The 23,865-nt window shown below is 40.8% G+C and overlaps 1 protein-coding gene across 1 annotated transcript; it reads right to left on the bottom strand.

Moving 5' to 3' along the window:
• Positions 1–4,698: 4,698 nt before the first annotated feature.
• NCBP2L (nuclear cap binding protein subunit 2 like) lies at positions 4,699–22,795 on the bottom strand. Its single transcript, NM_001348372.2, has 2 exons — positions 22,670–22,795; positions 4,699–6,379 (listed from the first exon to the last, which is right to left on the bottom strand). Exon 2 carries the CDS (start codon positions 6,305–6,307, stop codon positions 5,846–5,848), a length of 462 nt encoding a protein of 153 aa, NP_001335301.1. The 5' UTR covers positions 6,308–6,379; positions 22,670–22,795; the 3' UTR covers positions 4,699–5,845.
• Between the last annotated feature and the right edge of the window lie 1,070 nt (positions 22,796–23,865).

The following is a 23,865-nucleotide window of genomic DNA, read 5'->3' as shown; positions in this document are numbered from 1 at the left end:
CTTCGCAATTGATGATATTAGCTGTGGGGTTTTCAGATGTCCTTTTTCAGGGTGAGGAAGTTCTGTTCTATTCCTAGTTTGTTGAGTGTTTTTATCATGAAAAGGGTATTGAATTTTTTCAAATAATTTTTCTGGGTCTTTTGAGATGACTGTGTGGTTTTTATCCTTTATTCTATTGATGCTCTCAGCACGATTTTGAAGAACATATTATAAGAACTACTGGAGGAGTCTTCTAGCCACACAGTAGGAAAGTCCCTTTACTTAACCAAAAATATGTTTCACAAGACATTGTTAAAAGCTTTTTCTGAGCCTAGGAAAACAATTGCTCTTTGGGAGCAATCCAAGTGGACAGCCACTAGAAGGAGTGGTTGAAAGATACTCCAATATACCCCTCAAGAAACACCCTGTGATAACAACAAATTTTAGTTGTATGACTTTGCAAATCCCTTTTTTTTATTTTGGGAAAGTTGCAGAGGAGAGATACTCAAACATTAGTAAACTCCATTGCTATATGCAGAATAAGCTAAATTGGCCAGAAATACGTGTTGGATGTTCTTCCTTCCCCATTAGATTGTGGAGTCTGAGTGATTCTGGATGTCAAGGCAGAAAGGAGAGCACAGTTAAGACGTTTGCTTGAAGGAGACAAAGCTCAAATGTGATATAGTCAGTGGGATAATTCCCTGAGAAAAAGGAAACTCAAATAGAGGTTTGCACCTATGGCATGAGTGAAGGAAAGGGAAAGAGACAATATAGTACCCTGATTAAGGCCATCAGCTTTGACACAGACTCCTTTGGTTTGAATCCCAACTCTGCCACTTCCTAGTTAGTGACTTTGAGCAAATTACTTTACTTCTTCAATCGTCAGTTTCCTCACCTATATAATCGGCACAGAGTGGTTAAGAATAAGATATTGTGTTTTAAAGCCTCTGGCAAAATGCCTAGCACATAATAGTCACTCTGTAAAAATGGGCATTCCAGTTCCTCCCTGATTCAGAAAACAAACAAAAACAAAAACAAAAAAAGTTACTGATCAGAGAGAATTAATTCAAGTCATAGGGTAAAGAATTCAAGAGCGAGACATTTATTTTTTCAAACTTTCCAGACAAAAGGTCATGAACCCTGGAGATACATGCTTGGTTTCATGAGGTATCAATTTAATTAATTTCTTTGTACAAGGATTAAACTAAAGGGAAAGTGTGTAAGTCTTGGTATCAGAGTGCTTTTTTAAAATTTAATTTAATTTAATTTTAAGTTCCAGGATACACGTGCAGGACGTGCAGGTTTGTTACATAAATAAATATGTGCCATAGTGGTTTGCTGCACAGATTAAGCCCCACATGCATTAGCTATTTATCCTATGCCCTCTCCCCACCCCCACCAACAAGTCCCAGTGTATGTTGTTCCCCTCCCTGAGTCCATGTTTTCTTGTTGTTCAGCTCCCACTTATAAGTGAGAACATACGGTTTTTGGTTTTTCTCTTCCTGCATTAGTTTGCTGAGGATAATCGCTTCCAGCTCCATCCATGTTCCTGCAAAGGACATAATCTCGTTCTTTTTTTATAGCTACGTAGTGTTCTATGATGTATATGTACCACATTTTTTTTATCCAGTCTATCATTGATGGGCATTTGGGTTGATTCCTCAGAGTGGTTTTGACTGTATGTTAACAGAAAATCCTGCACAACCTGGCTTAAACAATAAAATATAATGTATTATCTCACATACAGAACATCCAGACATAGTGTATGCTGCAAGGTTAGTTGACTCAGCAACTAGATAATCTCATGAACAACACAGGTTCTTTGGGCCTTCTCTCTGCCATCTAAAATATCCTATTCATCCTAGGGCTAGTTTATTTTGTGGTTTTAAGAAAGCTATCTGCAGTAATCACCATATGCATGCTTATTCATATCCAATAGGAAGGAGAGATACAGCCTCTCCTTTAAGCTAAAACTAAAAATCTTTCATTCGATCTCACTGGGGTCTCAATTGGTCGCTGTCCATCCCTCAGCTTATTAATATAATTTTAGGATTGCCCACTTCTGATTGGCTTAAGCCTAGGTTCCTAAACCAATCACTAGCAAGAAGGAGAGGATTATCATAACTGATTTACACTAATCAGGGCCATGAAAATTAGGGAATAAATCCAAAATGCCCAGTATCCAGCTAATAGGGGTTACAGAAACAGCAGAGGAAACAGAAGGGAAGAAACTACAAATAAGTGATACAAGGCTTTAAGATTTAATGACTGTCTTACTGGGTTTCAGGCTTGCATGGGGCCGGTAGGCCCTTTGTTTTGGCCAATTTCTTCCATTTTGAATGGGAGCATTTATCCGATGCCTGTACCCACATTGTATCTTGGAGGTAATTAACTTTTTTTTTTTTTTTTTTTTTTTTTACAGGCTCATAGGTAGAAGGGACTTATCTTGTCTCAGATGAGATTTTGGACTGTGGACTTTTGAGTTAATACTGAAGTGAGTTAAGACTGGGGGACTATTCAGAAAGGATGATTGTATTTTGCAATGTGAGAAGGACATGAGATTTGGGAGGAGCCAGGAGTGGAATGACATGGTTTGGATTTGTGTCCTGTCCAAATCTCATGTCTAATTGGAGGAGAGGACTGGTTGGAGGTGACTGGATCATGGGGGTGGATTTCCCCCATGCTGTTCTTGTGATAGTGAGTTATCCTGAGATCTGATGGTTTAAAAGTGTGTGGCACTTCCCCCTTTGCTCTCTCACTCTCTCTCCTGCCCACCATGGTAAGATGTGCTTACTTCCCCTTCACCTTCTGCCATGATTGTAAGTTTCGTGAGGACTCTCAGTCATGCCTCCTGTTAAGCCTATAGAACTGTGAGTCAATTAAACCTTTTTGCTTCATAAATTACCCAGTCTCAGGTAGTTCTTTACAGCAGTGTGAAAATGGACTAATATAGAAGTAAATCACAAAAGGGATAAACACAGGATCCATGAAATAGTCAGTCCAATTCAGGACTATAGTGAAGAAAAATCTCTGGATGGAAACTGTTGTCTAGGGAGTGGTTTGCAGCCAGTTGTGATTTTGCCTCCCCACTGGCCTGCCAGAAACAACTGGTAATGTCTGGAGACATTTTTGGTTGTCACAAGTTGAAGTGTGTGTGCGCGCACAAATGCGTGCTACTGTATTTAATGGGTATATGAGGCCAAGGATACTGAATTCTACAATGCACTACACAGCCTTCCACAACAAATAATTCTCTGGTCCAAAACATCAGTAGGGCTGAGATTGAGAAATCCTGGTCTAGAGAGTAACAAATCCAAACTGGAATAGGAGGACAGACAGACCATGGAGAGGAAAGTAGAATTGTCGGGTGCAGTGGCTGACGCCTGTAATCCCAGCACTTTGGGAGGCCAAGGCGGGTGGATCAGGAGGTCAGGAGTTTGAGACCAGCCTGGCCAATATGGTGAAACCCCGTCTCTACTAAAAAAAATACAAAAATGAGCTGCGTGTGGTGGCACACACCTGTAGTCCCAGCTACTCGGGAGGCTGAGGCAGGAGAATCGCTTGAACCCAGGAGACAGAGTTTGCAGTGAGCCAAGATTGTGCCACTGAACTCCAGCCTGGGCGACAGAGTGAGACTTCAAAAAAGAAAAAAGTAGGAGAATATCCATGGAAAGCTTAATTTTTTACAGAGTTTGAAGGAAATTAAGGGGTGCAATAAAGGCAAATATAAGAAAGAGAGAATGGTAAATAAAAATTCCAGCAGAAAAGATATAGATGTTGGACTCTCCCTGGCTTTGCAAGGAACTTTATTTATTTATTTATTTACTTATTTTTGAAATAGGGTCTCACTCTGCCACCCAGGCTGGAGTGCAGTGGAACAATCTCAGTTCACTGCGACCTCCGCCTCCTGGGCTCAGGAGGGATCACTATCCTACCATCTCAGCCTCCTGAGTAGCTGGGACCACGGGCACATGCCACCATGCCCAGCAATTTTTGTATTTTTGGCAAAGACAGGGTTTCACCATGTTGCCCTGGCCAGTCTTGAACTCCTGACCTCAAGTGATCTGCCTACCTCAGTCTCCCAAAATTCTGGGATTACAAGCATAAGCCACTGCGCCTGACCAGGGAACAATATTTATATAGTCACAGTAATAAAATACTCTTTACTAATTGTAAACTTTTGGAATTAACTGAAAGACAGAGCACGGACAACTTTATCAAGTTTGACAATGTAAAAACAGAAATATAGATGAAAAAAGCTAGAAAGTAGAAGGGGGAGGAAGAAAGATGAAGAAAAGGCAAAAGGACATTAACATCTTCATCTTACAAAGTGGGAAGTACTATATGGTGGAGCAAAACAAAAATGGGGTTATATTTGTATATATTAAAGTTATAGGAGAACCTGTAGTAAACTGTATAACTCATCACTAATATTCAGGATCTCTTCCTACAGATCCTTCTCCACTCCCTCAGAATCAGTTTTGACAACATGTTTTGAGAATGGAAATGTGAGCAAAAGTGACGGATATCATTTCTGGGTGGAAGCTTGAGGAGCCAGGACATGATTTGTCACTCTGTTTTTCCCTCTGTCATCATCATTCCAGATAGTGGGTATACTATTAGCCTAGGCCCCAGAAGGAGGACAATCATGGCATGGAGCAGACCCCGGCACCATGTAATCAGCAATGGGAATGTAGTGGGAGGAACAGAACTTAGTAATTTTAAGCACTAAAATTTTTCGATTTTTTATTACTGCAGTATAACCTAAGTTATGCTATGTAACAGTAAAGAAAGTAAGTACAGATGCTCATTGACTTATGATGGGGTTACATCCTAATAAGCTTATTGTATATATTAAGTTGAAAATGCATTTAATACATCTAACCTCTCAAATATAGCATAGCACAACCTATCTTAAACATTTTACATTAGCCTACACTTGGGCAAAATCATCTAACCCAAAGCCTATTTTATAATAAAGTGTTAAGTATCTCATGCAATTTGTTGAATACTATACTGAAAGTCAAAAACGAAATAGTTGTATGGGTACCTGAAGCATGGTTTCTACTGAATGCACATCACTTTTATACCATTGTAAAGTCCAAACATTGTAAGCCAAGCCATTGTAACTCAGGAACCCTCTGTAAAGTGTTGTGAACTATATTGAGAGGATGGAGAGTAGAGAAGTGCAAATGGGGGTGTAAGTGAGCTAAATCCTCATCTCTGAAAGTAGGAAGTCAGTACGTAGCGTTTAAAAAGAAAGTAAGTAGTCATGTTATTTGGAGATATGGAGGAAACTACCAAGAAACAAACAAACCAAAAACTAATAAAAATAATTAAGCGTTATCGTCCAGGGAATAGGCGTAGGATAGGAAGAGGTGGGGCAGGAGGATTTTTGTTTTTATTACAAATTCTTCCAGACTTTTCTATGGTTTCAAATAATAGTGCTTGTGTTTCTCTTGATAACTTTTTAAAATTTCCACTTATTTGACTGTATTTTATGCAAGCTCTAAAAAAAATTATAATTTTGGGCTGCAGGAACATGGCCATAGAATCCAACAGAAATCTTCTTAAAAGGGAAGTTGTGCTTTGGTTGACTCTGATCTTACATACCTAATTTGTTCCCGAAGAACACTTCACTTTGGACCACCTAACAGTCAAACTGGTAATCTGAAAAGCATCTTCAAAATTCAGACAAAAACAAATGGATTTTTTTTGTTTCTGCTATTTAACAAATTTTCAGAGAAAAAAATACATCAACAAGTAAGGTAATTTAAACTTGGAATTGGCTATTTGCAGACTTGAGGTTGGTCTATAACACACTTTTCAAGGGGTTAGAGTTAAAACTTTTTCTCTATGGATTGTTCTAGATCTGAGTCTGTCTTCCAAAGCCTCCTCTACCAGAATGAAAATCTTCACGAAACTCATCCCTTACCTGACCCCCAGATTTACCGCGACCATACTGTTGACCCTCTCTAAAACCGACATCCCAATCAGTGCAGATAATCCATTCATCTAGGCAGGTCCCAGTTAGAAACCGCATGGCATTTTCAGCATCAGCTCTGTTATGGCATTCTACAAAGCAAAAACCACATGCTGTTTTCTTTATTTTATCCAGGCCCATAAAGATATTCCTGATATCAGATCTACTAAAGAGTTCATGTATTTTCTCTTCGGTTGTATAAAAGGAAAGATTCCCCATATTCAATGTGGAGCTTTCCTTCAGTAATTTTTCCTGCTGAAATTTACGGCCACTGAACTGATGGTCCCGGTAGCAGCTCAGCTCCAAAGCAGGGTCTTTACATAGAATTTTCAGGTCTTTGGACATGGTGCTGGTTGGGCAGCATGCCGATGGCCGTTTTCGGTCCAGCTTGGCAGCAGTGACACCACCACTGAAAACCTAAGTTGAGTTGAAAAAAAGAGGGAAGTCAAAAGGAGGGAAACAGAAGTATAAACCTGTGAATATTTAACATATTTGTGTTCAGATACAAGAACACTTCAGCTCCTGACCATAAGGATCATGTCAAGGCACACTAAAAATAGACAGCTCCAATCCCCAAAACATGGTCATAAAATCCAATTTGTCAAGTCTTCCTGAAAGGGAAGTTGTGCTGTCTTTGGTTGAGACTTAGATCTTATATGCCTGATCTATTACCAAAGAGCACTTTTAATAACAGCATGTTCTTGGAAAATATGGCATAAAACAGTTAAATGGATCAAATTTGCACAGAGAATGAGCACTAACAATTCTGATTAAGGACTAAGCATCAGATAAATCACATATATAATCAATGTTAAAGCACAAGTACAGTTTGGACATACTCTTTCTTAATTTGCAATTCAAGTCTATAACATGGAATCAATATATTGTATTGTTGGGTTACACAATGGGTCCCTATATACCATCAAATATACAAGTAGCACTTTAGAAATGAAAACTCTCTGGTATCATAAATTTGACCTAAATTAAGATTAGATTTTATTGGCAATAATTCCACTTGTTCAAAAGGTAAATAGTAATTAACCTTTCTAGACAATTTTAATTAATTCCTTTTTCTCTTTTACTAAAATTTACTGCAGCATTCGGAGGCATTAAACACGATTTAGTCGGTTTTAGCTACACTTTTCAATGTTATTATAGGGAGGCATATATAGGGAGGCACTGGGTCTCCCTATTTCTATTCTGTTTCGCAGAGGTTCCCAAATTTTAGCATGATAGAAACACCGCAAAACGAGATTAAAATACAGATTCTTGCAGCCCACTCTTAAGATATTCTGATTCAGTAGGTTTGGAGAGGGACCCAAGAATTAACATTTTAACCTACACCCCTCAATGATCCAGATGCAAATGGTCCAAAGATTACACTTTGAGAAACTCTGCTAAGGAAGTGCATTCCCTTAACAAACATTTAATAAGCACTCTACTTGCCAGACACTATGACAGGTGCTATAAGTACAACAATGAAAAGACACAGTGAAAATACAATTTTCAGAAATCACTGTGTCCCCAGTACCTACATGAACAATGCCTTGTACACCTTAGACACACAATAAATATTTGTTAATGACTGGATGAATGAATGAGCTCATAATTGAGTGATGAAGGCAAACAAGTAAACATGAAAATACAATATGGTGTAATCAATACTATTTTAGAGATATTCATGGAGGAAGGGGAGAAGGGAGTTAACATTTATTGGGGATCTACTTTGTGACAGGCACTGTGCTCACTTGCCACTACAACACCCAAGAGGAGAAGCAGTTACCTCAGCCTGGGGACAACAGAGAAGGCTTCTGGAGAAGGGACTGCATGCACTGATTCTCAAAGGACAAGGAAGGTATGTATATGTGTGTGTTGCAGGGCTGGGGGGTGTAGGAGTTTAGGGAATGAACCAGGCAGAGGGAACATGTGCAAGGGCAGAACACAAAGAAAAAATAAAAGCCCAGAAAACTGAAATGGAAGATTAAATAAAACCAGATGTAAACAACAGTGCTGTGCAATTCAAAGCAATGAAAATGGGAGTCCCTATTTAGATGTCATTTGAAGAGAAGTAGGAAGCCCACTGGCCAAAAATCATCTTCCTGACAGCCTGTCAAGGATGTCTGAAAGTATACCACTGGAAACTCATTACTTTAAGTCATTGACAAATTGCCCCGTTAAAAAACAAATATCCCTCCTAGACTTCATTTCCTTTTTTTTTTTTTTTGATCTGGTTACTAGATAAGCTACCAGAGAATGTGATAGCTATAGTGGATTTCATTTCATCCAGGCATTGGACAAAGTTTGCCATAATTTCCTTGTAGATGAGATGGCAAAATATAAGCTGGATGCTTCAGGCATTTGTTGAGATGAGCCTATAACTAGTTGAACAACTATAGCCAAAGAAGCGAACACATGGTTTGGTGTCAGACTGGAAGGAAGGTTCTAGCAGAGAGCCAAAGGCTCTGTTATTGGCCATGTCTTGTTTGGCTCATTTATAACTTGGCTCACTACAAACAAGAGCTTTTAAAATGGTCAGAGCAGTCCAAAGACAATGGGCTGCCTTGAGCTAGGCACCCAGTAGTGAAGCAGTGGAGATGCCCCTTTGAATCAATGTAGTGTTATGACTCAAGCATGAATTTTGAAGTCAAAAGACCTTGGTTCAAATCTCAACTTCACCATTTACTAGCAATATGACCCTAGGCAGGGCACTTAACAATACTGATTTCAATCTTCTCATCTGTAAACTGGAGAGCAAAATACCTATCTTGCAACAAATACTGTGACAATGTCATATGTAAAAACACCCAGCACAGTGTTTGACACACTGTAGGTGTTCAATAAGCAATAGGTATTGTATCAATATTCTGATCAAGTGATTCAAAATAGGATATACAAATACATATCAAATCTACACATAACACAAAAATAAGAGGGACTTTGAAATGATCTGGGCAGTCTTACATGATGCTGAGCCCAAATTGACAAGATAATTGATGGATAGTACTTAAGAATAAATGTAAGGCCGGGTGCAGTGGCTCACGCCTGCAATCCCAGCACTTTGGGAGGCCGAGGCAGGTGGATTGCTTAATCCCAGGAGTTCAAGACCAGCCTGGGCAACATGGTGAAACCTCATCTTTACAACAGATTACAAATATTAGCATGGCGTGGTGGCATGTGACTATAGTCCCAGCTACTTGGAAGGCTGAGGTAGGAGGATCTAGAGCCCAGGAGATCGAGGCTGAAGTGAGCCATAATTGTGCCATTGCACTCCAGCCTGGGTGACAGAGTGAGACCCTGTCTCAGAAAAAAAAAAAAGTATAAATGTAAAGTATTACTTTCAAGCTCAACACGTGGCAAAAGGACAGATTGATGGATATTGGGAAAGATAACTGGCATGGGAGCTTTGTTTTATAATGTGGGGCATCCTCTACTTTATTCTTCTCTTCACTTGTTTCTCCATTCATTCAATCAACATTTATAGAGCACTATGTTAAATTCTGGGGAAACAATAAAAAGTAAGATGCAGCCCTTTCCCTCAGGTAGCTCACAATCTGGGGAGATGGACAACTTAACATACAAATTGCAATGCAATGTAATTATTCTAATCACAGGAGCACACAGTAGGCCCAGAGGTAGCACAAAGAAGGGAGTACAAAACTACAGAGGAGGATGAGGAGGGGAAAACAACTTTCTAAAGGACCTGATTCCTGAGCTTTTTTAACAAAAAATTTACGTAGTATTTACTTTTTTGAATAGTGAATTCAGATTTGTGTTACAAAATGCAGAATGTACAAATAGGTGGAAAAAGGAAGTCTTCTTCCCACTCCTGTGCCCCAGCCACCCAATCATTGTCACTAGTTTCTTGTGTATCTACCCAGACATAGTCTGAGTCCAATTTTGAAAGCTGAATAAAGATTTGACTGGAAGACCAAGGGGTCATTCTAGGCAGAGAGAACAGTGTGTATGAAGGCATGAAGGCGTGATGGGGGGTGTTCAGTCTGACGTTATTTGGGCAAAGAAAATAAGGAAAAGATGATAGGAGATAAGATTGGAAGGGTAGGCAAGGCCAGATTGTGAGGGGCCTTGTAAGCCTTGTGGAGCAGCTTGGACTGTACCAGTAAGCAGTGGGAACCATGATAGGGCTTCAAGCAGAGGAGTGATGTGATCTGATTTGCATTAGAGAAAATGCATTCTATCACAGTGTGAAGGATAGACTAAGGGGGAGCAGGCCAAGAGGCAGGAAGACCAGTTACGGAGCTATTTGAATGGTTAAAAAACAAAAAGATTATGGAAAGCCTGGACTAATAATATGCTGTAGTAACATAAAGGAAACACATCTCAGATAGATACTTAGAAGACAGACTGAACAGGTCTTGGTGACTGGTTGAATGAGAAATTCAGGATGACTACCGAGTTTCAGCACTGTGTAGATAGAGGTCAACTGTGTAGATAGAGGTCTGAGTCACCAAAATGGTGTCAGTTGGGCAGACAGAGGAGGAAGGGCAGATTGGAATAAAAAAGATGAATTTGGAACATACTGAGTTTGGTCTTGAGGTACCTGTAGGATGTGCCATATTACACGTGTCAAGTATTAACTAGTATATGGGTTTGGAGCTCTCAAGAGAGGTCTGTGTCTGGGACCACAGACACAGATTTGGGGCTCAATAGGATGGTAGATAAAACCATGGGTATGGATGAGATGATCTAGGGGAAAGGTGAGGAATGAAAAAACCTGGGAAAGACTGGCATTTAAGGGGTGGCAGACGAAAAGTCCACAAAACAGCATAAGAAGGAGTAATCAGAGAGGAATGAGGACAGTCAGAAGATGTGCAACATCACCAAAGCCAAGGAGTAGGTCATGAGAGTCATGAGGACAGAAGTAGGGTGAGAGCAATCAATTATGTTAAATACATCAGAGAGAGGTCCAGTAAAATAAAGACTTAACATTGTTCATTAGATTTGGCAATTAGGATGTCATTGGTTTACTTAAAAGAGAAATAACAGTGGTGTTCTGGGAACAGAAAAGCCATAGTGGGAGCTGAGTTTTTAACAGGAGGTGAGGAAATGGAGAGTGTCTACACTTTAGAAAAGATTCCATAACAATAAAAGAAGAGAAATAGGGCAAATGCCAGTTGGGGATAGAGGCGAAGGAAAATTTGTTTGTTTCTTTTTTTAGAGTGAAAGTTGATCATGCCTGAAGGTTGATGGGAAGCAGCCAGTAAGTAGAGAAGGAGTTGTTGAAGACACAGATGAGAGGAGGGATAACTGATGAAGTAAGTCCTCATGGAGGTGAGAAAGAATGGGCTCCAAAGCATACGTAGAGAAATTAGCCTTGAACTGGAGAAGCTATGTGTATTTCTGCAAGCCCAAAAAAAAAAAAAAAAAAAAAAAGAGGTTAGGACATGTAGGGACACAACTATGTGGCAGGGTGGGGTTAGGACAGGAAAATGAGTGTTAGCATCCAACGACCTAGATTTTCATAATGGAATAAGAGGTGAGATCATCTGCTGAGAATAAAGTGGATCATTGAAAATAGTTGGTGAAGCAGAGTGGAGGTAAAATGATTGAAAGGATGAAGCTTATAAATGGGTCATCTATGAGGACATTAAGATCACTCAGGATGGTGGCTAGAGTTGGGGTGGAAAGGAAGACTATCAGTGAGGAGGTGAAGTCCTCAATAGGTGAGAGAACTAAAGTACAGCAGATGATAGTAGGAAGGATTGGAAGAGGGTGGCTGTACCATCTCCAGGCCCCATGGGGTAAGAAAGAACAGAGAACCTCTACCACTGAAAACAGAGGTTTCTAGTTGATGTTAGGTACCTGACCCAAAGTAGGTACTCACTAGATGTGAAGAAGTGAGTTACTCTTTTTTAAGCTGGTATGATCATGAAATTGCATCAGACCATCACAAGGAGTGGCAGTCCCAATGTGCTCCATGCTGGTCAAACTACACAGCGAGCACTACGTTCCATTTCGAGGTACTGTATTTTAAAGTGAACATTTACAAATCATAGTGCATCTGATGTTTATTGAATGAATGAAGGGTCAAGAAGTAACTGAGGACTGATTAGAAATTGGGGATGTTTAGTCTAGCAAAGAGATGGTTAAAGGAGGATATGACAAATGTCTTGAAATATTGAAAGTGCTATTTCTGCTCCATATGATAAAAGTAAGATTAATGGATAGAAGTTAAAAACAGAAGATTACAATTCTTTTTTAGCAGAGTTTTTAATTCATCCAGTGATAGAATGTGAACTTACCTAATCTATTCATGTGGAGGCTGCAATGAACACCTACCTGCTAAAGGTGTTAGAAGGGTCACCCCCAAGGTTAACATCCCCAAAGGTTAAAGAGAAGATAGAAAAGCAATCCAGTTGCCAGGGACCACAGATCACCAAGTTGATCTGTAAACACTGTGAGAGAATATTTCCTACCTAAAAAGTAGAGCTTGGTTGGAGTGGAAAGCTTTCCTTGACTCTTGCTACTGGAGAAAATTAGTCAGAGAGTCTAAAAATAGAAGAAAAACATGAAGAATGGCTCAAAATGATCAGTCAAAATCCTAAGAGGACGGAGGAGAGGAGGTGGCAAAATAAAGTAAATTATCTTCCAGGAAACAAACTTCACTGGGCTTTTGGAGTTGGCAGGACTCTGCAAAGAATCTTTTCAATGGTTGCCTTAAACTAATGCTGGGATTGTTTCAACTATGTGAAAGGAACAAGGATCTGGACTCTTTAAAAAGCCAGGCTACTTTCTGCTCCAGATGAAGGCAGTAGCTCTAAGAAAGGAAATTAGAAAGCGCTGGGACAGTAGTGTTACTACATGCCTTACCTTTATAAGACTGTTCCTAATGGGTGAGAGAGCTGAGAGCCATTGTTGAGGACTGGAACCCTGTGGCCAAATATCTACTTTGTGCCAAGAGAAATTCATGTCTGATTGAGACTGCCTAGTGCTCAGAGTGACAGAAGATGTTCATATGTATTTAACACCTGTATTTAAATGAGTAGTTAAACATAAACATGTCATGGAGGTGAGAGATGAGAAATTACTTAATGGGTACAATCTACACTGTTTGGGTGACGGTTACATTAAAAGCCCAGACTTCACCACTCTGCAATATATCCATGTACCAAAACTGCACTCGAACCCCTTAAATTTGTACAAATAAATAAATAAACAAACATAAGCTGAAACAGACTGGCAGAACTAAAGCGGAGACAATGGCCTGAGACAGGCTACAGGAGAAAAGAGGATAATAAGTGACTGTTTAGTGTAGAAGCTGATCTGGATTAAATTAGGAAGCAGGTGTTAATGGATGCTTGAATTTTTTTGTTTATCATTTGCACTATATGGCCTTACTGTTCAAAGTGTTGTCCGTGGGCCAGCAGGAGCAGCACACCTGGGAGCTTTTTAGAAATGCAGGATCTCAGGCCCCTCCCTAGATCTGCTGAATAATAATCTTCATTTTAACGAGTTTCAGGTGATTTGAGTGCACAGTACAGTTTGAGAAGCACTGACGTATGTGGTTTCTTAGTTGAACTTTTGCCTAACAAAATTCTCTGTCCCTTCCTCCTTCCTTCTCTCCCTTGTACCACCTCTCCTAGTTTCCCAATCTTAGTTTCCTTGTGATCTGGCACATAACTCTAATCATGGCTGATAGCCCCAAAAGTAGTGTTCCCAATATATCCAGATAAAGAAAAGAAAAGAAAAGAGTGGTCAGATATATATTGTAAAGCACAGGTTTGGGCAGTAGGAAACCATTGACTTGGCCTCTAATTGTGCTGTCTGTATAACTTTTGTCAAGTTCCTTGACCCTTCTGAGCCTCAGTCTGTAAAATAAGGGTCATTATAGTATTTACCTCATAGTGTTGTTGTGAGAATGAAATGAAATGAGGGGAAGGTATGTAAACTGCCTAACACAGCGCCTGACACACAGTAAGTGCTCAGTATGTGGTAGTCATTATTATTGAAAGCCATCAGTTCTGAAGTAAACTTAGAACTATGTTATGATTCCAGACTTTCAAAGTCCCCATGAGTCTTTCTGGAGAGCCTCCGGAAAGCCCTGTGTACCTCATCCAGTTCAGCTTTCTTGACTCCAGTACCAGCAGTCAAGCAAAAGTATTTCTTATTCCCTTGGATTGTCTTCTTGTTTTTGCTGAATTACCAAGATTTCCTACTTTGTCATTGCAAATGGCCCACATTTTTAGTACATTAAAGCTAAAAACATCTTTTGTGGGCTGGTCTGGAAATGTAGTTCAATTTATAACAATTTTTTTCTCCTATGGAAAAATGCATGTCACCTTCCAAACAATTGACTTGAGAGTGAACTTTGAGAGCTCAGCCTGTCTGCAGCTTGGAGGCTCCCTGTATGTCAATATATGGAGTGGTCACAAAGGCTAGGTAAACCAAGTCCAGAATTCCAGAGGTGGCTGAAAGACAATTGACAATGCTACAAGGAGTGGAAAGTAGGGCAAATGGATCAATCTGCGTGCACAGTATCAAGATTTAGAAAGCTAATACAGGAAGGGAGATATACCTCTGGAAGGATATTAAAAAATAGCCACAATGACAACACAAACCATTTTTTTTTTTACTATATTAGGTCAGGGGCCCCTAATCGGTAGCTTGGGATCTACAAACAATATCAAGGCCTTGCAAGCTAACTCTCCAACATGATCGCCCTTCTCCTGCCCTGCTCTCTGCAGTTTACCTGGATTCTCAGCTCAGAGAGGAAGACAGTAAGCAGCATCTCCCCAATCCTCTTCACTCCCACACCCTGGTAGCCAGCCCCCAGATTCAGTAAACTTCCCTCTACCTTTAATTTCCGTCTTCCCAGGGAGATCAAGGCATCAGGAATATACAACACAGTTTTTCCTTACAAAAAGGATGAGGACTCCTGTATTGGGTAAAATAAGATGACTGGTGAAAACAGGGCCCCCAGGATGGAGAGGGCTGGAAAGACAGTAAGAAAGGACCATGAAAAAGCAAAGGACTTTTGTGCCTTCTCCCTGAAGTTGTTAGCAAGAAAACCAATTGTATCTGGGGGAACTCTGGGTTAACATGGCAGCAAGATAACACAGTCTGATACCCACCATCTAGGAATGCCCATTAAAATATCCATGAAGCTTTGCAACAAAAAACTAAAACTTGCACTAGCTACGGAAAATAGGGGAAAAGGGACTGTTAATTGCTAATGGAGAAGGAATTTCTGCTAGCTGTTGTAGGGAGATGGGGTTGGACTGAGGAACATATTTATAATCTACATACACTCTACCCTCCTATCCAGAACAGCAAAAGTGCCCAACAAAGTTGGGGAAAGATTTTGATTCACTTCTACCAACTGTCCTTAGATTGGAAATACAGAGGCTCATCAGAAAACCAATGTCATCCCTTTACTATAAAGAAAATATTTTCAGAGGCAACAACAGCTCTGTTCCACTTCTTCTACCATCAATTCCTCTATTTTATTTTTTTCTCTTTCTTTCTTTCTCCTTCCTTCCTTCCTTTCTTTCTTTCCTTCTTTCTTTCTTTCCTTCCTTCCTTCCTTCCTTCCTTCTTTCTTTCCTTCCTTCTTTCTTTTGTTTGTTTTTGAGACAAGGTCTCATTCTGTGGCCCAGGCTGGAGTGCAGTGGCACAATCACAGCTCACTACAGCCTCAACCTCCCAGGCTCAAGCAATCTTCCCACCTCAGCCTCCTGAGTAGCTGAAACCACAGGTGCATGCCACCACACCTGGCTATTTTTTTTTTTTTTTTTTTTTTTGTGGAGATGGGGTTTTGCCATGTTGCCCAGGCTGGTCTTGAACTCCTGAGCTTAAGTGATCCACCCGCCTCAGCTTCCCAAAGTGTTGGAATTACAGGCGTGAGCCACCGCATCTGCCCAGCTCCTCTATTTCCTATATGCTTTGTGGAGACCACAACTTGAGAACACCATGTGGCTGGTGATGGTGGTAGCGGTGGTTGGGGCCAGAGATTGTTATGGTTGGGGCCAGAGATTGTTATCGGGAAAAGTTCTGAACATAAGCATGCTTGCAGACATTATATCTGAAAAAATGTAATGTGTAACATGTAATTTCATATTACATATATAAATATGTAATATGTAATTTCATGTAATATGAAATAATGTAACATGTAACAAATTGCAGAGTTGAATGACCCAAAAGATCAGAGATGGAAGATTCCATCTATCTCAGTCCAGCCAAACCTAAAAATAATGATAGCAGCAACAATAACACTATCAACTGCCACCAGTTGCTGGGCAATTATTATATGCCAGACACTATATTAAGTACTTAACATGTCATGCATTATCTTACATACTCCTCATAGTAAACATAACTTGCCATTCAAGTTTGTTTGAAAAGGTCAGGTAACAATAATGACATCTACCACATATTGAGTTGTGACTATGTGGTAGGTACCAAGTGTTATACATCCACCATCTCATTAGATGAATGCCTACTAGGCACTAAAAATGGGCTTGGATAAGTACTTTGTCCTTCTCAATTCATCCTTCAAGCCATCATCTCCTCTAGGAAGCCTTCCTTTACCCTTCCAATCTGTGTTTGGTATGCCCACTCTTTGTTCCTTCCATCACCATTCTGTGCTTCATTCCATGACAATCCTTATCATATATACTGTGATTGTCTCTTTACTTGCCTGTGCTCCCACCCTGGACACACACACACACACACACACACACACACACATACGCACACCAGACTGTGAGCTCCAGAAGAAAACACTGTAGATATTAGGATGTAATAATATATGGCCTCCATGAAACAGTTCTACAAAGACAGGTTGATGTATATGTTAATTAGCTTGATTGTGGTAATCGTTTCACAATGTATGTCAAAACATCATGGTGTACACCTTAAATATATACAATTCTTGGCCGGGTGCAGTGGCTCACGTCTGTAATCCCAGCACTTTGGGAGGCCGAGGCAGATGGATCACTTGAAGTCAGGAGTTCAAGACCAGCCTGGCCAACATGGTGAAACCCTGTCTCTACTAAAAATACAAAAACTAGCTGGGCATGGTGGCAGGTGCCTGTAATTTCAGCTACTCGGGAGGCTGAGGCAAGAGAATCGCTTGAATCCGGGAGGCAGAAGCTGCAGTGAGCGGAGATCGCGCCACTGCATTCCAGCCTGGGCGACAGAGTGAGACTCCCTCTAAAATAAAAAATAAAAAAAAAAAAAAAAAAAAAGGCAAGTGCCACCATGCCAGGCTAATTTTTATATTTGTAGTAGAGACAGGATTTCACCCTGTTGGCCAGGCTTGTCTCAAATTCCTGACCTCAAGTGATCCCACTGCCTCGGCCTCCCAAAGTGCTAGAATTACAGGCGTGAGCCACTGTGCCTGGCCCTCGAGGACAGCTTTTCAATTTCCCTCAGTTCCCCATCTCCATATTTTATTTCCCCTTGGTTAATCAGATATTTATTAGGTATCTACCATGCCCAAGAACTGTGCTAAGAAAGCTTGTGGAAACTGCCTAAGTGTCCATTGATAGATAAAAATGAGTTTTTATCCATTCATTTCAATTTCTAAATGAATTCCTAATTTTTTCTAAAAAAATTCAATTTCTAAATATAGAAATTGTGGGGTGTGTATATATATATATACACACATGTATGTGTGTGCATATGTGTATATGTATGTGTATATGAGTGTATATATATGTGTATATATGTATATTATGTGTATATATGTGTGTATATTATGTGTATATATGTATATGTATATATAAAATAAAATATTATTTAGCCTTAGTAGGAAATCCTGCCATTTGTGATAACATGAATGATCCTGGAGGATATTTTGCTAAGTGAAATAAGCCAAACACAGAAAAAAAAACACTACATGATCTCACTTATATGTGGAATCTAAAAAAACTGAATTCATCAAAGCAGAGAGTAGATGGTGGTTACCAGGGGTTGGGTGGGGAACACATTGGGAGATGTTGGTCAAAGGGTTCAAAGCTTCAGTTACATGGGATGAATAAGTTCTAGAGATGTAATGTACAGCATGGTGACTATAGTTAACAATACTGTATTGTTCACTTGAAATTTGCTAATAGCGTAGATCTCACTGCACACAGACGCACACACACACAAAGATAACTATGTGAAGAGATGGATATGTTAGCTTGACTGTAGTCTATGTGTGTATATATGTGTGGGTATATATATATATATATTTATATATATATATATTTATATATATATATTTATATATATATTTATATATATATATTTATATATATATTTATATATATATATTTATATATATTTATATATATATATTTATATATATATTTATATATATATATTTATATATATATATTTATATATATATTTATATATATATATTTATATATATATATTTATATATATATATATAGCCGTGATGTACACCTTAAATATATACAATTTCAATTAAAATGTAAAATAAAAACAAAAAGTTTGTGGTTGAGAACATTAAAGCTCCCAAACCTGGCTACCTTTAAGAATCATCTGGGGATCTTTTAAAAGTATAGATCTCTGCCCAGTGCAGTGGCTCACACCTGTAATCCCAGCACTTTGGGAAGCCGAGGTGGGCAGATCACCTCAGGTCAGGAGATTGAGACTAGCCTGGCCAACATGGTGAAACCCTGTCTCTACTAAAAATACCAAAATTAGACAGAGCGAGACTCCGTCTCAAAGAAAAAAATATATATATATAAATATATATATCTCTCTATATATAGATATCTAGATATCTATATATAAATATAGATATCTATAGATCTATATATATAGATATCTATAGATCTATATATAGATATCTATATATAGATCTATAGATATCTATAGATCTATATATATATATATATAGAGAGAGAGAGAGAGATAGATAGATAGATAGATAGATAGATGATAGATAGATAGATAGATAGAATGATAGATGGATCCCAGGCTGGGTGTGGTGGCTCACGCCTGTAATCCCAGCACCTTGGGAGGCCAAGGCAGGCGGATTGCTTGAGCTCAGGAGTTCAAAACCTGCCTGAGCAACATGATAAAGCCCCATCTCCACAAAAAAAAAAAAAAAAAAAAATTAGCCGGGCGTGGTGGTACTCACCTGTAGTCCCAGCTACTCGGGACACTGAGATGAGAGGATCGCTTGAACCCGGGAGGCGGAGGTAGCAGTGAGGAGAGATTGCACGCCTGTAGTCCCAGCTACTCAGAAGGCTGAGTTGGGAGGACCCCTTCAGGCAGGCAGGCAGGCCAAGGCTGCAGTGAGCCGAGATCGTGCCACTGCACCCCAGCCTGGGCGGCAGAGCCAAATACTGTCCAAAAAAAAAAAAAAAAAAGCCGGCCTTCATGGCTCATGCCTGTAATCCCAGCACTATGGGAAGCCCAAGGCAGGCAGATTGCTTGAGCCAGGAGTTTGAGACCAGCCTGGGCAAAATGGCGAGACCTCGTCTCTACAAAATTTAGCTGGGCGTGGTAGCACACCCTTGCAGTCCCAGCTACTCAGAAGGCTGAGGCAGGAGGACCCCTGGAGCCCAGGAGGTCGAGACTGTAGTGAGCTGAGATTGTACCACTGCACTCCAGCTCTGGGCAACAGAGCAAGACCCTGTCTCAATAATTATAATAATAATAAGGCCGGGCTTGGTGGCTCCTGTAATCCCAGAACTTCGGGAGGCCAAGACGGGTGGATCTTAAGCTCAGGAGTTCAAGACCAGCCTGGGCAACATGGAGCAACCCCGTCTCTACTAAAAATACAAAAATGAGCCCTGCATGGTGGCATGTGTCTGTAATCCCAGCTACTCGGGAGGCTGAAGCACAAGAATCGCTCGAACCCGGGAGGCAGAGGTTGCAGTGAGCCGAGATTGTGGCACTGCACTCCAGCCTTGGTGACCAAGCAAGACTCTGTCAAAAAAAAAAAAAAAAAAAAGTGAACTTCCCAGGTGATTCTAATGTAGCCATCCTGGTGCAGATCCAAGGCCTGAAGTTTGGGTGGGGCTTAAGTGACACTGACTCAGGGTCAAGTCCCATTTCTGCCCCTTGCCAGCTGTGTAACCTTAGAAAACAATTCCATGTCTCCGAGAGCTATGAAAACAAGGCTGCCTCACAGGCTTGTGATGATGAATCAGTAGAAAATGACTATAAAGGTTTTAGCACAGTGCTTGGCATATAGTAAAGACTCATTCATCTAATATTGTTATTAATATATATAAGGAGGTTGGTCTAGAACTCTTCTCCCAGGCTGGAGTGCAGTGGAGCAATAATGGCTCACTGCAGTCTCAACCTACCCGGGCTCAGGTGATCCTCCCTGCGTAGCTGGGACTACAGATGCACGCTAGCATGCCCAGGGAATTTTTGTACTTTTTGTAGAGATAGTGTTTTGCCGTGTGGCCCAGGCTGGTCTTGAAATCCTGGCCTCAAGGGATCCGCCCACCCCGGCCTCTCAAAGTGCTGGGATTATAGGCATGGGCCACAGCACCTGGCCTTAGAACAGGGACCCCTAAAAATTCAGGGGAGGCTGGGCGCGGTGGCTCACGCCTGTAATCCCAGCACTTTGGGAGGCCGAGACGGGCGGATCACGAGGTCAGGAGATCAAGACCATCCTCGCTAACATGGTGAAACCTCGTCTCTACTAAAAATACAAAAAAATTAGCCGGGCGTGGTAGCAGGCACCTGTAGTCCCAGCTACTCGGGAGGCTGAGGCAGGAGAATGGCGTGAACCCGGGAGGTGGAGCTTGCATGAGCCAAGATCGCACCACTGCACTCCAGCCTGGGCGACAGAGCGAGACTCTGTCTCAAAAAAAAAAAAAAAAAAAAAAAATTCAGGGGATAGGCTGGGCACGGTGGCTCACGCCTGTAATCCCAGCACTTTAGGAGGCCGAAGCGGGTGGATCACCTGAGGTCAGAGGTTCCAAACCAGCTTGGCCAATGTGGCGAAACCCTGTCTCTACTAAAAATACAAAATTAGCCCTGTGTGGTGGCACATGCCCGTAATCCCAGCTACTTGGGAGGCTGAGGAAGGAGAATCGCTTGAACCTGGGAGGTGGAGGTTGCAGTGAGTTAAAATCGCACCATTGTCTGGCCTGGGCAACAAAAGCAAGACTCGTTCTAAAAAAGTAAATAAATAAATATTCAGGGGATAAATTAACTTAGATGGGAAAATATTACATCTTTGTTTTCACCAACCTCTAACTAAAATTTAGATTTCCTTCAACTACAAATGCAGAGAACAGATCACGATAGTGTTAGTGGTACCTGTGACTTTGTCCCCAATAGAAATCACAATTTTATGTCACATTACTGTTACTACAGGTATCTTTAAATATGTTTACAATTATCATTACTTTCAACTTGCCATGGTTATGAGAGTTGTTTCTATATATTGTTATTTATTACATTAATAACAAGCACTTCTATAACTATACCAGCTTCCATGTCTCACATTTTATTCTCCAGTAACACTGAACTGCTTTGTAATCCACACCCGGATATCAGCATACACACTGTTCTCAGCCCCAAGCCTCTGTTCACTAGTCTCTCTAGTCTCTCTACCTAGATTGTCCTTCTCTTCTGCCAGAGCTAACCCCTCCTCCACACCCAAGACATGCCACCCCCTATTCCCCCTACACACACCAGGCCTCCATTACCACTTAGTATTTGTACTGTTTTTGTCTGTCTGCAGCTCTGTTTCTGCAGCTAGACCATGAAGTCTTTGGGAGTTTGTCCTGTTTTGTTTACCTCTGAATCCCCACTTACACTATACCTGACACAGGACAAGCACACAGTGACTGTTGAATGAGTTCATCCAAGAAAGAGATGCCCCTTATACCCTCTTTCTGCTCCACCCAGAAAGCTACCAGCTCTGTCTGGAAGTGGGGGCCCCCCTCCGCTTTCTTAGTTTATGCAAAACGTTTTGCTGCTTGGAGTCTCTCCATCCAACGCAATATATGTCAGCAAAGCAAGGCTTCACAGAAGGGAGCCAAGGTGGCCCTGCCCAGTCAGCCTTCTCCTGAGGAGGTGTGCAATATGTCAATACAAGCTGGACTTGTATGCAAATACATACCAGCTCCTGAACTCTATCTCTGAACTATGTAGTTTTTTTATATCTCAATTATATTTACTCTTGATCAACCTGGATATAGTATGGAAAGCTGTACTGAATTATTAACAATACTGCTTGAGAGCAAGGACTACAACAAGGGAAATGTCAAGGGGACAGAATCTTGAGTTTAATGGTGCCAAATGCCAAGAAGGAAATACTTCTACCAGGGCCTCATCCCAAGGTTATGCACAAAGATAAAAGGACTCAGGCAAATATAGAAACAAAAGTCCCAGCAGTTCACAAAACACAACTTAAATAAACATTTATGGGTCTAATATATTTTGCTATAACGTTTAACATGAAATAATTATAAACAAGAGGAAAAAACATAAACACTGTAATTACAAAACAATTTAGTAGACTATAAGTCTACACAATGCAGATGAAATTTCATATTCTACTACCTCCTCTGGCTTTTACCCAAGAACATTTAAAAAAAAAAAAAGCGAAGAAGAAGAAAAAGGGAAATTAATACATCTAAAGGGTTTGCTTTTGAGAGGAGAAATAGAGACTCCTCAGCAGTCTGTTAGAACGAAAGGACCATACTCTCAGTTTTGCAGGTATGGTCAGTGACCCCCAGCACCTCTTTCACCTCTGACCTTGGGATCCTGTCAAGAGCGAGAAGTACGGCTTGTTTTTGGCTTTCCGGCTGCTACAGCATAGAGACCACAACCCCACCTCCATTTTCCCCAAGTTGCAGGGCACATATAGGACCCACAGGGCCTTGGGAATAAGAGTTACAATAGTTGGCCGCTCTTTGCTCTTAATCACAGGCCTGATGCTTGTGGTACCCGGAGGAAGTTTCAAATCTATGGAAGTCCAATCCGCAGGGACTCAGGCCAAGTGAAGCTCCACTAGAAAAAAGGGCGGCTCTGGCCCTAATTGGTGTTCCTGCCTATTAGCTGGAGCTCTCTTAGTGTAGGAGCGTGTTCCTGCCTATTAGCTTGGCCACAGAACTCTCTTAGTGTAGCAGCTCCGCCTCCTACACTTCTTCCCTGCTACTCTTGGAACCAACGCACTGTGGATTCCACCAGGAGGTACCTCTGGTGCCTCTCCGAGCTTCTGTGACGCAGGCAGAGAACGTTCAACGTCTTGGACACTAGATGGCAGTATATGCTGCTCTATTTCAAAGGCCAGACTTGTGAATGAAGGAGCCGATGCGGGGGTGGGGAGTACTGACTGAAATGTAAGTCAGTTTTACGTGAAAACTGAACGTCATGAAAAGTTTAGTTTTTTCAGACACTAATCGTTATTTAATCCTACACATTTAAAGTATTCCAAGTCTCTGAGTCCTGAGAAACCCTGGAAACCCACCACTTGCCCACCCAGAACATCCCTCCATCTTACAGAGCTGGGGCACGCCCCTCAGGCCTGTGAACATGCAATCGCTACATCTATTGAAAGGGTAACGACAGACGGAGATCAACTAAGGTGGCAGGTAAGGTTCAGAAAAGGAGAAGGACAACAAATTTGGAGAAATAGGAGAAGGTAAGTGAAGTGAGGAAAAAGAGGGGGTGCTGAAGTAAGAAATGAGGGGAAAATAAGGGAAATGGCGGGGGTAGGGGAGAGAAAAATGAGAGAAAAGAGGAAAGGGGAGAAAGGGGAAATGAGGAAATAGAGAAAAGGAGAAAAGAAATAAGGAAAGAAAGGTAAAAGAATGGAAATGGGGGAGAAAGTAGAGGAAATGGGTAAAGAAAAGAGAAAAAATAAGGGAAATAGTGGAATGAGTGGAAGCAGAAGAGCAGAGAGAAGGAAGGGGAGGACTGAGGAGAGACGGCGAAGGGGCAGAGGGAAA

The sequence above is a fragment of the Homo sapiens genome, chromosome X (genome assembly GCF_000001405.40).
Source record: "Homo sapiens chromosome X, GRCh38.p14 Primary Assembly".
Classification (NCBI taxonomy): Eukaryota; Metazoa; Chordata; class Mammalia; order Primates; family Hominidae; genus Homo; species Homo sapiens.
The sequence above is the reverse complement of the archived record's forward strand: the minus strand, read 5'-3'. Positions and strand labels throughout refer to the sequence as shown.

Bases quoted from the DNA above. Each gene is read 5' to 3' on its own strand.
- NCBP2L (NM_001348372.2), bottom strand. From the start codon at position 6,307: ATGTCCAAAGACCTGAAAATTCTATGTAAAGACCCTGCTTTGGAGCTG.